Genomic DNA, 13,014 nt, shown 5'->3' on the forward strand with positions numbered 1-13,014 from the left:
CAATAAATTATTTAAATATGTTGGAAGTTGAGCTAACATTTGAAAACATGTTAAAATAGAGATGTTATGAAGAAACGAAATAATAGAGATGTTATGAAGAAACGAAATATTGCTTCAGCAGTTACCATCAGGTCTTAGCTTCTGGGATGGATGCAGGCCTATGATCTCTCTGGAAGACCAAACACGGAAGATGATGGTGAAACCATTACCAGGGGAATTCGTAAAATTACTTTCTGCATGTAAATAGGTGTAACCTCACAGAACTGTTAACAGAACTGTAGCAGGTGCGTAATCCACCAGAAAAACTCCAGCCTGGCAGCGGTGGGATTCGAACCCACGCCTCCGAAGAGACTGGAGCCTAAATCCAGCGCCTTAGACCGCTCGGCCACGCTACCTGCACGAAAACTTACTGTCCCCGTTGTCCTCCTAAGAGACTAGAAGTAAGGAATGGGGCAAATCTTAAGAGTGCCAAATTGATTCGTCTCCTTTTCCACATCTTTTAGACTGGAAATGAAGAACCATCGAGACTGTGGACCGCATAGCAGCAGATGGCAGAACAGATAAACGAGAAGAGACAAAAACACACAGAAATTTACAACAAAACTAGTTTATTTGGGTGGGACTATATCTGGGAGTGGGGAGCGCCTGAGCCGGAAACACCCCCCAAGCGGGCAGCCGGAGCTCTGCACTCGCTCGCTCAGCCATTTTCGGTTGCTCTCCCTCCCTGTTTTTTCGACCCATGTGCGCCCTCTCTCTCACCTGGCTAACATGCTTTGCGCCCGCTACCTCTACCTGGCTTGGCCTCTGAGATCCAAACCGCGCCCTCCTGGCATGTCCCGCCCAAGTCCCTTAGCCCCGCTCCCCAACCCTGCCCCATTCCCACTCTAGTACCCGTAAGCTACAAGACGCCGCCGTTCGTCGGGTGGCTCTGTGGCGCAATGGATAGCGCATTGGACTTCTAGTGACGAATAGAGCAATTCAAAGGTTGTGGGTTCGAATCCCACCAGAGTCGATTTTATTTCAATTTTTCCTTTTTATCCGTTTTTTTCTTAAAGGCCCCCATCCCTTCTCCCCCTACCCTATCTCTCTCTTTCCACCTGGTTTCAATTTCGATCTCAGTTCCCGCTCTGCTCTCTTCTTTACTTACCTGTCTGCCCCGGGGCTTGGGCCATGGAGAGCAGGACTGAGGGTGGGAGACAGAAGGGAAGGGAAAGTGGGCGTGGACGTCGAGATAAAGGCAGGCCCCTGGCTCGGGGACACACGGGGATTTAATAACCACTTTATTCCATGCACTAGGGACTCGGGAAGGGACTGGGACTGGGCTGAGGGGCAGAGAGAGTACAATCCTAGACGCAAGGGAGAAGTTGGGGCAGGGAAAAGGGACAGGAACCAGGGAAATATATATTTATATAGATACTCTAATATAGACCACATCTCACCCGCGCGCTGAGCCCGCGCGCCCCACTGCCCTCCCCAACACCTGCTCGCCCGGACGCCCGGGTCCCTCTGCTGCCCTCGGGCTGGAGTCTCTACCCCACCCCTAGACCCCGCCCCCACCACCCCCCAAGGCTCAGGGCCAAGGTCTCCAGAAAGCGGGCGGCGGGGGCAGCGGGGCCTTGGGCGCCCCGTCTTGTCTGTGAGGCGGCGGTGGCGGCGGCAGCAGTCCGGTGAGGGGCGCCGGCGCGCCAGAATCCCCGGCGCGCGGGGAGCAGAGGGATGGGGACCATGCGCAGCGCGGGCTAGGGTGGCCCTGGTGCACTGGGGGGCGCTGGTGCAGCGCAGGGCCAAGGGCCGGTGCGGCGGGGTCCAGGGATGGGCGCGGCGCTGGAGGCCTCGGATCTACCGGCTTGGGCCGGGGCGGTTTGGGGCGCAGATAGCCGTGCAGCGCGGAGAAGAGCTGGGCGCGGGCGGCCGGGCTGGCGTCGTGCGCGAAGGCCGCCAAGCGAAGCAGGCACTCGCGGAAACCGGACAAGTAGCAGCTGGCGAGCGCCTCGGCGTCCTGGACTGGGGACCGGGGAACCCCTGGAGCCGCGGCGGCTGGTGCGGCCGGCGGGAGCACAGGTGGGCAGGGCAGGGGCCCGGCAGGGGTGAGGGAAGGGGCGGGGCGCAGAGATACCAAGGCCGGACAGGCGCACAGAGACAGGAAGCCAGATGGACGGAAAGAGGGAGAAAATGAGGGAGACACAGAGACAGACACGCGCGGGTGTTATTAACCTCGCCTCGGAGCAGAACCGGCCACTCCCCAAGCCCACCATCCACCGCAGGGCCCGCCCACTCTGCCCCGGCCGGAGCCTCCTGGCGTCCCCCCTCCCTCCCTCCGCTGCCCCACCCCCGCGCTGTACCCGGGGGCTCCACCCGGCTTCGCTCCCTCAAGTAGCCCACGGCGAACTCCAATATCTCCGCTTTCTCCAGCTTCGGGTTCCGGAGGTTCTACAGACGGGAGGGGAGGGCGCAGAGACAGAAAGGGGTGGGGAGAAAGGGGGAAAGTGGCAGGGGGAAGAAGGGAGGGACGGATGCGGGAGCTGGTGGTGCCCCCGATCGCATTTGCGCACTGCCCACAGAACGCGCGACCAAATGCGGAGTGGAGATGACCAAGGAAAGTCCTGGCCCACCCTGAGACGAAACTGTCCAATCCTAGGGGTTGGAACCAATGCCCAACGCGTGAGGAGGAGATTTGAAACCGCAACCCAGGGAATGAAATTAACCACCCGACATAACAGAGGCTGGCTCATCAGAGGCTGGCTGTGGGGGAGGGGGAACCGGACACTTAGAGACCCAAAGGGTGAAACTGACCGACCCCGGGAGCGAAATTTACAGAACCAGGCGTGAAACTTACAGACCCGAGGGGTGGCGAAGAAGATCGCGTTCTGAGAGCGAGTGGGGGTCTGGGATGGAATTCCAAAGGCGGGACTCGGGTGAGGATGCCTTGGGGCCAGGGTTGCCAACCAAGCTTGTGTCCCCACCCCAGTGGGAAGCCCTGGGACGCGGAAACGGGAAGCTTGGGGACCTAGGGCTAGCGGAGGGACTGACCTGGTCCCGGGTCCGCTCCAGCAGCAGCAGCCTCAGCTCTTCCAGGCTGCGGTTGATGCGGTCCCGGCGCCGCTTCTCCACAAGCGGCTTGAGCATCTGCGACCAGCGAGAAAAGGAGAGCGGGCCGACCAGACCGAGACTCAGTGCGGCCGCCCCGGCGTCGGATCCCGCCGCTGGGAGAGCCCGGCTTCCACCCCGGCCACAAGACCCCAGATTGCCTAGGGCCGGCCCCATTCGATCCCTCTCCGCTCCCCCTCCCAATGCCCCTAGATCAGTTTCTGTAGCTCGCCTCCCCGGATCTTCGCATTCTCCTCTCTCAGTCTCGTCCTCCCTCCTCCCCTCTCTGTGTCTCTCCTCCTCTTTTCTCTCTACGTCTCCGTCTGGTGCAGTTTCTCTTTGTCTCAGTGGAGAACTTTGGGGACTCTCTGCGCGCACGCACGTGCGCCGCACGGTGCCGGGCTCAGACCTGGCGGCCCTGAGTATAGAAAGGGAGATACCTAGCGCGACCGCGCCGCCTCTTTTCCCTCAAAACCCTCCAGGCCTTCACCTTCTCCACGGTTCTCCTAAAATCTTCCACCAGTCTGGGGCCTCTGGAACCAACGCCCCGGGACCTTCTGTACAAGACCGCCTTGGGCCAGCCCCGCCCGGCTCACAGCCAGAGTGGAGCAAGTGCCTATCCTCTTCTCTTTTCGTTCCCACCCTCCTCCCTTGGCTCTGCCCTCTAATTGCTTATTTTACTCCAACACCGGCCCCCTCCCCAGGCCACAAGGTGCCGACACCCATTACCGAGGCCCCTAGTCCTATGTTCCCGCCGCCCACTCAGGTCTGGCTCTGACCCCTGTCCCCTTCTTCATATTTTGCAGCTTCCTCTCCAGCTTCTGGCTCCTGGAGTTCTGGAGCACCGCTCCCCTTCCACCCCTGCGTCCCCAGCCTCTCTCCAGACCGACGGCGTCAGGGGCCCAGTCCCCTAGCCAAACCAGGGACCTCTGCTCCCTCCCCTCCCGCCTCTCACCTTGGGGCCGTCCCTATTCTCAGCTCGATCCCGGGTGACCATTGCTCCTCCGGACCCTGTGTGGACCGGTTCCCTGCTCGCCTGGAGCCTTATATTCCGCGGCCCAAGGGTAGGAGGGATAGGACCCGACCCCGCCCCCTTCGACATCCAGATTCTGCCCCTCTAGGACCCGGCACGAGGCTCCCGGAAAGAGGAGGAGTGAAGGGGGGAGGGGAAGGAGAGAAACTGGCCTGGGAGTGCGGGAAGTGAGGGGTGAATGGGGGCACTGGCTGGTTTACAGACCGTAAGGCTGTATAAGGAGGCGGGACCCAGCTGAAAGGAGGAGGCTATTGGGGCAGAGCTCGCTTGGGGATGAAATTCAGAGTTCCTCCAGAATTGCAGCTTTCTGGGAGGCTTACTGTACCCTCACTAACCCTGAAATAGAAGTTAGCACCTCTCAGCCCCCAGGCTGAATTTTATACATCATCTCCGAAGTTCGCTTCCTAGTCGAGACAGGGAGCAACCCGAGTGCGCTGGGTGAATCTGTCCGACTCAACCGAAGCTCTGCCGGGAGGTTGGAGAGGCGCTCTCTTCTATCTAAGCCAGTTACATTCAAGTCCGCGAACATCTGCGCGCCCACTCTGCGGACAGGGCACTTGTCTAGGCTCGGGCGAGTCATAGTGAGATACGCAGGAGAGACCCAGCTTATCCCTGCAGGATCTAATGGAAAAGACCATGTGACACCAAGTAGCTATTACAGAAGCCCAGTGAAGTAGGTGCTCCGGGAAAAGGTCTCCTTAAGGATGGCTGGACTGAGGAGGATCTTCAAGGCAGAGGGAGCAAGTCTTTGAAACATAGGTATGAGTGGAGAGGTCTTTCCACTTACAGTACAAGTATTTGATTCAAAACTAGTCATAGGAGATTCAGGAGTGTGGCTGATAGGACACCTCACGCAAGTGTGCCCGCATTGCTTGCTTCTGGAGGCCCCTGGTGACTGTAGGGTAGCAGGGAGCAGGCAGTTTACTAAGGGGAAAGCAAGGGGTACAAAAAAGGGATCAACACCCACCTCAAACCAAGAGCATGACCCTCCGCAGAACGATGCCTGACCACTCGAGGGCTTCAGGACAAAGTGTCTGAGAAGATAAATCAGAAACTGAAGGGAACAGCCAGGTTGCCAGGGATAAAGACACGGAAAGACAGGGTTGCAGACCGAGACGGAAGACAGCTGTGAAATCAGAGACCAATGGGGTTTCCTTCAAGCCCTCCCAACGGCCCTCCGCACCTTGGTTTTGTCACGAAGCCTTTCTTGCCATCATAGCCCGAGCCGGGAGAGGCACAGACCTTGAGGAGGGGGCTCCCATTTGGGATCAGGGCCCCCAGCACATCCCACCTCTCCGTCCTTCAGCCAAATGGGAACGCAAATGTGTGTCCCCATCAGCCCCCGCCGCCCCCCTCCTTGGGAACCTGGGCTCGGGCTGAATTTTTCTCACCTGCACGCGAGGCTGGGGGCCCCCGGCTGTTCGCACCCGGGTGTGGGGCCGCCCCTGGCCATATGGGGCGGCTTTATGGCCCGGTGGCCGGATCCGGACGAGAGGAAGGATGACTTGGCGCTCCACCCACGGCAACCATTCGGGACCACTTCCCTGGCCTACACCGTTGCCTGTCCGGGTCCGCCTCAACCTCTTACAATCTCAGATAGGATCCCCGCAGAATCTTTAAGCCGCGCATTGGTGGTTCAGTGGTAGAATTCTCGCCTGCCACGCGGGAGGCCCGGGTTCGATTCCCGGCCAATGCACGAGTACAGTTTTCTTTTCTCCCCTCCAAAAAAAGGATAATATATTTGGTAGCATTTCTAAGAAACATCTTCACTTAAATATTTCTACCAAATATTAATCTTAACCTTTTGACTATAGCAGAGTTTGCAGCCCCAGGCCTAAACGATTCCGCACGCCCTCGCACTCCCCTCCTCCCAGCATGGGGGTCCTGCAGCCTCCACACCCCCCTCCCTCCGTCCCCGGCCCGCACCTCCGCAGGCGTGACCCTGAGAAAGGACACAGTGCTCGGATCTCGGCCCCCCGCGGGGGAAGGGCCAGGTCTCCCCGCCCCCCACTCTACATCCCTTGTTCTTTCCACCTCTCTTCCTCTGTTATTTTCCGTTCTCTCTGAAGCACGCTTTCTTTTCTTAAGTCTATGGGTCTATGCCTTTTTTGTCTCGCCTCCTTTCCGGGTCTCTGAGTGTCTCTTAGCTCCTCCATCTCTGTATCTCTCACGTTTTTTCCAGATCTTCAGCGACTTCTGCCCTGGGTCTCTCTGGTGTTGGTGGTCTCCTCCCTCCGCATCTCTGATTCCGCGTCTCTCCGCGTCTTGGCGTCTGCATCTCCGCCTCTGGCTCTCTCGGGTCTCTGGTATCTCGTCGTCTCTCCGAGTCTCTGTCGCCTCCCGGGACTCTGCGCTCCCACGCTCCTGCCATCCCCTGGGAAGCTCGCTGACACTTCCAGGTTCCTGCCACCTCCCCTCCCCGCCCCTTCCCGGCCGCTTTGATCCCGCACGCGTCGGCCCGAGGGCGGGCGGGTGGGCGCACAGCCACCTGCGGCGACCACTTGTGAGCGGGGCGGGGCGGGCCGGCTGGGCGGGGCGGCGGGGCTCCCCGCGGTCCGCTCCCTTCCGGCGCGCTCCGCCTCCCACCGCTCGCCTCCTCCTGGCTCTGTCCGCGGTCGCTGCCGGGGCCTGTGGGCTCGGGGCTCAGGTTCGCTGAGTGAATCTGGGTCTCGGCCTTAGTCTATCTGGGTCTCTGTCTCTGGAATTCACCCTGGAGCTGTCCCTCCCGTTTCTTTCAACCTGTTTTATTTGCGCCAGGGTCTGGGTCTCTGTCTCGTCCTCGGATTGTATCTGTGACTGCCAATGCTCTGTTCTTAGCGCTAAGTAGTAACCGTGGCCTCCAGAAGGAAACTGTTAAAAAAAAAAAGTGCATCTATCTATATGCCTGTGTGCGCAGCTGCTGGATTTATTCGGTCAGCCCATATTTATGGGGTGCCTCCTGTGTGCCGAGTACTGTAAGGAGTACATTGGGTCTGGGCTTTCCTGAAGCTTATATTACAGAGGGAAAGACAGACAATAACTACGAAAGCAAAAAATAACATAAGATAGCTTCAGATGGTTATAAGGCTGTGGGAAGAAAACAACAACAACAACAACAAAAAGGTCATGGCGATGACTTGAAAGTGAAGGGCTACTTTACTCTGGGTGGTAAGAGACAGCCTCTATGAAGAAGTGATATTTGATGCCAGCGTAGTCAGCAGCCTTGAGTCCAGGCAAAAGGATCTGCAAGTACAGGCTCTGAGGCAGGAGAGCTATTTGCTGGTGGGAGCTGGAGAAAGAGGTCCGGCGAACTCGGGATGGAGGATTTGCAGAGTGGCAGAGATCAGATTAGAGAGTCAGGCGTAGCCCATCCCACAGGATCTTGGAGAGTATTGAAGGAATTTGGATTATAACGGCAATTGGAAGCCAGTGGGGGATTTTCATCAGCAAAGTTATATTCTCTGACTGATGTTTTAAAAGATCACTTTGGGGCCAGGCGCGGTGGCTCACGCCTGTAATCCCCGCACTTTGGGAGGCCGAGGCAGGTGGATCACCTGAGGTCAGGAGTTCGAGACCAGCCTGCCAACATGGGAAACCCCGTCTGTACTAAAAATACAAAAATTAGCCGGGCGTGGTGGCACACGCCTGTAATCCCAGCTACTCTAGAGGCTGAGGCAGGAGAATCGCTTGAACCCGGGAGGCGGAGTTTGCAGTGAGCCGAGATCGCGCCACTGCACTCCAGCCTGGGTAACAGAGCGAGACTCCGTCTCAAAATAATAATAATAATTAATAAGATCACTTTGGACCGGACGCTGTGGCTCACGCCTGTAATCCCAGCACTTTGGGTGGCTGAGTCAGGCGGATCGCTTGAGCCCAGGAGTTCGAGACCAGCCTGGCCAACATGGCGAAACCCTGTCTCTATTAAAAATACAAAAATTAGCCGGGAGTGATGGCGTGGGCCTGTAATCCCAGCTACTTGGGAGGCTGAGGCAGGAGAATCGCTTGAACCCGGGAGGCGAGGTTGCAGTAAGCCGTAATCGCACCACTGCACTCTCGCCTGGCCAACAGACCCAGACTCTGTCTCAATGAAATAAAAAAGAAAAAAGAAAAAAAAATTAGCCAGGGGTGATGGTCCGCGCCTGAGAGGGGAGGCTGCAGTGAGCCAAGATCGCGCCACTGCTCTACAGCCTGGGCGACAGAGCGAGACTCTAGATAGATAGATAGATAGATAGATAGATAGATAGATAGATAGATAGATAGATAAAATTAAAAGATCGCTTTTGTTGCTATTTGGAGAATGAAGGCAGAGGGCTCATTCAGGGGGCTGAAGCAGTCTTTTAGGCAATGCCTTGAGGTGGTGGTGGGGAGAGAAAACATGAAGGGGTTACTCCTAGGTCTTTGTCTTAGGTAAGATCATGTATTTGCTTAACGTGCGGATATATTCAAAGAAATGCGTTGCTAGGCAATTTCATTATTCAGACATCACAGAGTGTAGTGATGTAAACCTAGATGGTAGAGCCTTCTACACACCTAGGCTACACTATACAGCCTATTGTGCTCCTAGGCTGCAAACCTGTACAGCTACAGCATGGTACTGTACTGAATGCTGGAGGCAATTGTACACAATTGTAAGCATTTGTGTACCTAAAAGGTAACGCATGGCACTACAATGTTATGATAGCTATGCCATCTTTGGGTGATAGGAATTTTTCGGGTTTTTTTTTCCTTTTTGTTTTGAGGCAGAGTCTCACTCAGTTGCCCAGGCTGGAGTGCAGTGGGGCGATCCCGGCTCACTGCAACCTCCGCCTGCCGGGTTCAAGCGATTCTCCTGCCTCAGGCTCCCGAGTAGCTGGGATTACAGGCCTGTGCCACCACACCCCACTAACTTTTGTATTTTTAGTAGAGACGGGGTTTCACCATGTTGCTCAGGCTGGTCTCGATCTCCTGACCTCGTTATCTGCCAGCCTCGGCCTCCCGAAGTGCTTATCACCGAGCCTGGCGATAAGGATTTTTTTTTAGCCCCATTATAATCTTGCTCTTGTTGCCCAGGACGGAGTGCAATGGTGGGATCTCGGCTCACTGCAACCTCTGCCTCCCGGGTTCAAGCGATTCTCCTGCCTCAGCCTCTCGAATAGCTGCTCGAATATCTGGGATTACAGGCATTAGCCACCACGCCCGGCTAATTTTTGTATTTTTAGTAGAAACAGGGTTTCACCATGTTGGCCAGGCTGGTATTGAACTCCTGACCTCAAGTGATCTGCCCGCCTTGGCCTCCCAAAGTGCTGGGATTACAGGCGTACGCCATTGCATCCGGCAATCCCCATTATAATCATATATATATATATGCAGTCCATCATTGACCAAAACATTGTTATGCAGCGCATGACTGTAACTGGGTAGACGGTGGTGGTGGCTTTTAACTGAGATGGGAAAACCTGTGGGGTCGGGGAGAGGTTTAGGAAGAGAAATCAAGCATTATACTTTAGCCATATTAGTTAAGACATCCTGGCCAGGCGCGGTGGCTCACTTCTGTAATCCCAGCACTTTGGGAGGCCAAGGCGGGTGGATCACGAGGTCAGGGGTTTGAGATCAACCTGGCCAACATGGTGAAACACCGTCTCTACTAAAAATACAAAAACTAGCTGGGTATGGTGGCATGCGCCTGTGGTCTCAGCTACTCCAGAGGCTGAGGCAGGAGAATCTCTTGAACCCGGGAGGCAGAGGTTGCAGTGAGCCTAGACTGCGCTATTGCACTCCAGCCTCGGCAACAGAGGAAGACTCCGCTCAAAAAAAAGATATCTAGGTGGAGGTCACACATAGGTTAGGGATATACAAGTTTGGAGATCAGAGCTGGAGGGTAAATACGCTGGAGTGATTGGGAGATAGACGTCTTTTAATGCTATAAGACTGGAGCACCTAGAGAGAAAATGTGGCGGGAAAAGACTGAACATGGGCCGGGTGTGTTGGCTCATGCCTGTAATCTTAGCACTTTGGGAGGCTGAGGCGGGTGGATCACCTAAGGTCAGGAGTTCGAGGCCAGCCTGCCCAACATGACAAAACCCCGTCTCCACAAAAAATAGAAAAATTATCTGGGCATAGTGACGCACGCCTGTAGTCCCAGCTACTCAGGAGGCTGAGGCAGGAGAATCGTTTGAGCCCGGGAGGCCAAGGTTGCAGTCAGCCGAGATTGAGCCACTGCACTCCAGCCTGGGCATGAGAATCTGTCTCAAACAAAAAAAAAAGAAAAAAGAAGAAGAAGAAAAGAAAAGGCTGAACATGGACCTCTGGGGCACCCCAACACCTAGAGATTGGTTGAGGAGGAAGAATTGGCAACGGAGACTAGAGCGGTCAGAGAGGCAACAGGAAAACCAGGGGGAGTGGGGTGTTCTGGAAATCCAGAAAAGAGGGTGTATGAAGAAGGAGATTTTGCTATCTATTCCACAGCATGGTTAGTAATAACGTATTGTATATTATGAAATTATTAAAAGTCTATTTTAAATGTTCTCACCACGAAAAAATAAATAGATGAGGTGATGGATGTGTTAATTAGCTTGATTTAATCATTCTACAATGTATCCTTATATGGAAACATCACATTTTACCCCATAAATATATATAATTATTTGTCAATTAAAAATAATAAGTGAGGCCGGGCTCAGGGGCTCACACCTGTAATCCCAGCACTTTGGGAGGGTGAGGTGGGCAGATCAGGAAGTCAGGAGATCGAGACCATCCTGGCTAACACGGTGAAACCCCGTCTCTACTAAAAATACAAAAAAGATTAGCCAGGCATGGTGGCAGGCACCTGTGATCCCAGCTACTCGGGAGGCTGAGGCAGGAGAATGGTGTGAACCCCGGATGCGGAGCTTGCAGTGAGCTGAGATAGCGCTGCTGCATGCTAGCCTGGGCAACAGAGCAAGACTCCATCTCAAAAATAATAATAATAATAAGTGAATGAACACTTTTTTCTTTTTTTAACCTGTATCCAACAAGAATAAGTAATTTTTTCCTTTTTCTTTTTTCTTTTTTTGAGACAGAGTCTCAAAAGTCTATTTTAAATGTTCTCACCACGAAAAAATAAGTAGATGAGGTGACGGATGTGTTAATTAGCTTGATTTAATCGTTCTACAATGTATCCTTATATGGAAACATCACATTTTACCCCATAAATACATATAATTATTTGTCAATTAAAAATAATAAGGGAGGCCGGGCACAGTGGCTCACACCTGTAATCCCAGCACTTTGGGAGGCTGAGGTGGGCAGATCTCAAAAAAAAAAAAAAAAAATTAGCCGAGCATGGTGGTGGTGCCTGTAATCCCAGCTTCTCGGGAGGCTGAGGCAGGAGAATTGCTTGAACCCGGGAGGTGGAGGTTGCGGTGAGCCGAGATCATGCCACTGCACTCCAGCCTGGGCAACAGCAAGACTCCGTCTCAAAAAAAACAAATTGTGCATACCTTCGGCATTTCACTGCAACTGACAAAGGCCAGTCTCTACTCTGGCTGCTCCTGCGGCCCGTCCATCACATCACCACTCATCCCCAGTGTTACAGTGGCTGGCTGTGAGCATTTTGGGGGATCTAGCTGTGGAGAAGGTGAGTTGGATTTGTGGGATACATTTAGATGATTTGTAGTCACTTCCATATATAGGTTTTTTTTGTTTTGGGGTTTTGGTGTTTTTGTTTGTTTGTTTTGCTTTGTTTTTGAGACAGGGTGTCTTGATCTGTCTGTCCCCCAGGCTGAAGTGCAGTGGTGGGACTGCAGCCTCAACCTCCAGGGCTCAAGCAATCCCCCTACATCAGCCTCTGGAGTAGCTGGAACAACAGATATGCACCACCACACCCAGGTATTTTTTTTTTTTAATTTTAATTTTTTGTGAGACTGGGGTCTCACTATGTTGCCCAGGCTTGTCTCAAGTGATCCTCCCATCTTGGCCTCCTAAAGTACTAGGATTACAGGCATGAGCCACGGTTCTCAGCCAATATTGAGTTAAGTTAGCCTCCTCATCTAGGGTAGGAATGGCTTCCAGGGATACTCCTATTTCCTTTGCCCAGTCACTAGGCTTCGTGCTGGAAGTGTGCAGGGCCAGAGACACATGTGATATGAATGTCTGATGGCTCTTGACATTATGAGTCATGGGTGGTAGAGGAGAAACAAGATTTGAAATATAGAGAGTTAGCAGCTAGTCTATGGAAAGTGCTATAGAGGTGTGTGGGCAGTAAGTACTACAAATAGCTGGCTGGGTGCAGTGGCTCACATATGAATCCCAGCACTTTGGGAGGTCAAGGCAGGTGGACTGCTTGAGTCCAGGAGTTTGAGACCAGCCTGGGCAACACGGTGAAACCTATCTCTGCTAAAAATACAAAAAAAAAAAAAAATTAGCCAGGTATGGTGGCCTGTTCCTGTTTCAGCTACTTGGAAGGCTGAGGTGAGAGAATCACCCGAGCTGGGGAAGTCGAGGCTGCAGTGAGCTGTAATTGTGCCACTGCACTCCAGCCTGGGCAACAGGAGTGAGACCTTGTCTCAAAGAAAAAAAATTAAAACTGTTAAGTTATTTTTCTGGACAGTGTGAAATTTTTGCCTTTTATTTTATTTTATTTTTACTTATTTATTTTTGAGACGGAGTCTTGCTCTGTCGCCCAGACTGGAGAGCAATGGCGCCATCTTGGCTCACTGCAACCTCCGCCTCCTGGGTTCAAGCGATTCTCCTGCCTCAGCCTCCTGAGTAGCTGGGATTATAGGCGCATGCCACCACGCCCAGCTAATTTTTGTATTTGTAGTAGAGATGGAGTTTCACCATGTTGGTCAGGCTGGTCTCGAACTCCTGACCTCATGATCCGCCCGCCTCAGCCTCCCAAAGTGCTGGGATTACAAGCATGAGCCACCGCTCCCGGCCTTTGTCACCTTTTAAAATTT

General features: G+C 53.8%; 1 protein-coding gene and 3 non-coding genes across 8 annotated transcripts, besides 10 other annotated features; 2 read left to right on the plus strand and 2 right to left on the minus strand.

Annotated features, from left to right (window-relative positions):
• Positions 241 to 450: a silencer, noted in NCBI's record as "silent region_8154". NCBI's record gives its function as "represses an Ori minimal core promoter by ATAC-STARR-seq in GM12878 lymphoblastoid cells {active_cell/tissue: GM12878}" and the evidence as "EXISTENCE:reporter gene assay evidence [ECO:0000049][PMID:35858748]".
• On the minus strand, positions 314 to 395 carry TRL-TAG1-1 (tRNA-Leu (anticodon TAG) 1-1). The gene has a single exon. It is a non-coding gene; the product is annotated as a tRNA-Leu (tRNA).
• On the minus strand, positions 592 to 6,634 carry HES7 (hes family bHLH transcription factor 7). 5 transcript variants are annotated; one of them, XM_047436941.1, is made up of 5 exons: positions 5,512 to 6,634; positions 5,088 to 5,154; positions 3,031 to 3,126; positions 2,343 to 2,430; positions 592 to 2,037 (listed from the first exon to the last, which is right to left on the minus strand). In XM_047436941.1, exons 1-5 carry the CDS (start codon positions 5,571 to 5,573, stop codon positions 1,571 to 1,573), a joined length of 780 nt encoding a protein of 259 aa, XP_047292897.1. In that variant the 5' UTR covers positions 5,574 to 6,634; the 3' UTR covers positions 592 to 1,570. The 5 variants fall into 5 exon arrangements, with proteins under 5 accessions (XP_047292897.1, NP_115969.2, NP_001159439.1 ...); NM_032580.4 differs by lacking the exons at positions 5,088 to 5,154; positions 5,512 to 6,634 and adding an exon at positions 4,043 to 4,106 and having other exon boundaries at positions 592 to 2,022; NM_001165967.2 differs by lacking the exons at positions 5,088 to 5,154; positions 5,512 to 6,634 and adding an exon at positions 4,043 to 4,106.
• Positions 925 to 1,012, plus strand: TRR-TCT2-1 (tRNA-Arg (anticodon TCT) 2-1). Its single transcript is given in 2 exon segments — positions 925 to 961; positions 977 to 1,012. It is a non-coding gene; the product is annotated as a tRNA-Arg (tRNA).
• Positions 1,391 to 1,850: a silencer, noted in NCBI's record as "silent region_8155". NCBI's record gives its function as "represses an Ori minimal core promoter by ATAC-STARR-seq in GM12878 lymphoblastoid cells {active_cell/tissue: GM12878}" and the evidence as "EXISTENCE:reporter gene assay evidence [ECO:0000049][PMID:35858748]".
• Positions 2,071 to 2,180: a silencer, noted in NCBI's record as "silent region_8156". NCBI's record gives its function as "represses an Ori minimal core promoter by ATAC-STARR-seq in GM12878 lymphoblastoid cells {active_cell/tissue: GM12878}" and the evidence as "EXISTENCE:reporter gene assay evidence [ECO:0000049][PMID:35858748]".
• Positions 3,964 to 4,484: an enhancer, noted in NCBI's record as "H3K4me1 hESC enhancer chr17:8027282-8027802 (GRCh37/hg19 assembly coordinates)". NCBI's record gives its function as "activates a minimal SCP1, AML or CMV promoter by ChIP-STARR-seq in primed H9 embryonic stem cells {active_cell/tissue: H9 hESC(primed)}" and the evidence as "EXISTENCE:reporter gene assay evidence [ECO:0000049][PMID:30033119]".
• Positions 5,625 to 5,674: a silencer, noted in NCBI's record as "silent region_8157". NCBI's record gives its function as "represses an Ori minimal core promoter by ATAC-STARR-seq in GM12878 lymphoblastoid cells {active_cell/tissue: GM12878}" and the evidence as "EXISTENCE:reporter gene assay evidence [ECO:0000049][PMID:35858748]".
• Positions 5,746 to 5,816, plus strand: TRG-GCC2-6 (tRNA-Gly (anticodon GCC) 2-6). Its single transcript has one exon. It is a non-coding gene; the product is annotated as a tRNA-Gly (tRNA).
• Positions 5,761 to 6,562: an enhancer, noted in NCBI's record as "H3K4me1 hESC enhancer chr17:8029079-8029880 (GRCh37/hg19 assembly coordinates)". NCBI's record gives its function as "activates a minimal SCP1, AML or CMV promoter by ChIP-STARR-seq in naive H9 embryonic stem cells {active_cell/tissue: H9 hESC(naive)}" and the evidence as "EXISTENCE:reporter gene assay evidence [ECO:0000049][PMID:30033119]".
• Positions 5,785 to 5,834: a silencer, noted in NCBI's record as "silent region_8158". NCBI's record gives its function as "represses an Ori minimal core promoter by ATAC-STARR-seq in GM12878 lymphoblastoid cells {active_cell/tissue: GM12878}" and the evidence as "EXISTENCE:reporter gene assay evidence [ECO:0000049][PMID:35858748]".
• Positions 6,375 to 6,434: an enhancer, noted in NCBI's record as "active region_11664". NCBI's record gives its function as "activates an Ori minimal core promoter by ATAC-STARR-seq in GM12878 lymphoblastoid cells {active_cell/tissue: GM12878}" and the evidence as "EXISTENCE:reporter gene assay evidence [ECO:0000049][PMID:35858748]".
• Positions 6,515 to 6,704: a silencer, noted in NCBI's record as "silent region_8159". NCBI's record gives its function as "represses an Ori minimal core promoter by ATAC-STARR-seq in GM12878 lymphoblastoid cells {active_cell/tissue: GM12878}" and the evidence as "EXISTENCE:reporter gene assay evidence [ECO:0000049][PMID:35858748]".
• Positions 6,955 to 7,034: an enhancer, noted in NCBI's record as "active region_11665". NCBI's record gives its function as "activates an Ori minimal core promoter by ATAC-STARR-seq in GM12878 lymphoblastoid cells {active_cell/tissue: GM12878}" and the evidence as "EXISTENCE:reporter gene assay evidence [ECO:0000049][PMID:35858748]".

The sequence above is a fragment of the Homo sapiens genome, chromosome 17, assembly GCF_000001405.40.
Source record: "Homo sapiens chromosome 17, GRCh38.p14 Primary Assembly".
Lineage (NCBI taxonomy): Eukaryota > Metazoa > Chordata > Mammalia > Primates > Hominidae > Homo > Homo sapiens.

Excerpts from the sequence above, each read along its gene's own strand:
- HES7 (XM_047436940.1), bottom strand. The coding sequence starts at position 3,264 with ATGGGGCCGGCCCTAGGCAATCTGGGGTCTTGTGGCCGGGGTGGAAGC. Across the intron at positions 2,431-3,030 it reads TGGAGCGGACCCGGGACCAG|AACCTCCGGAACCCGAAGCT; the intron begins GTCAGTCCCTCC and ends TCCCGTCTGTAG. Across the intron at positions 2,038-2,342 it reads AAGCCGGGTGGAGCCCCCGG|CCGCCGCGGCTCCAGGGGTT; the intron begins GTACAGCGCGGG and ends CGGCCGCACCAG.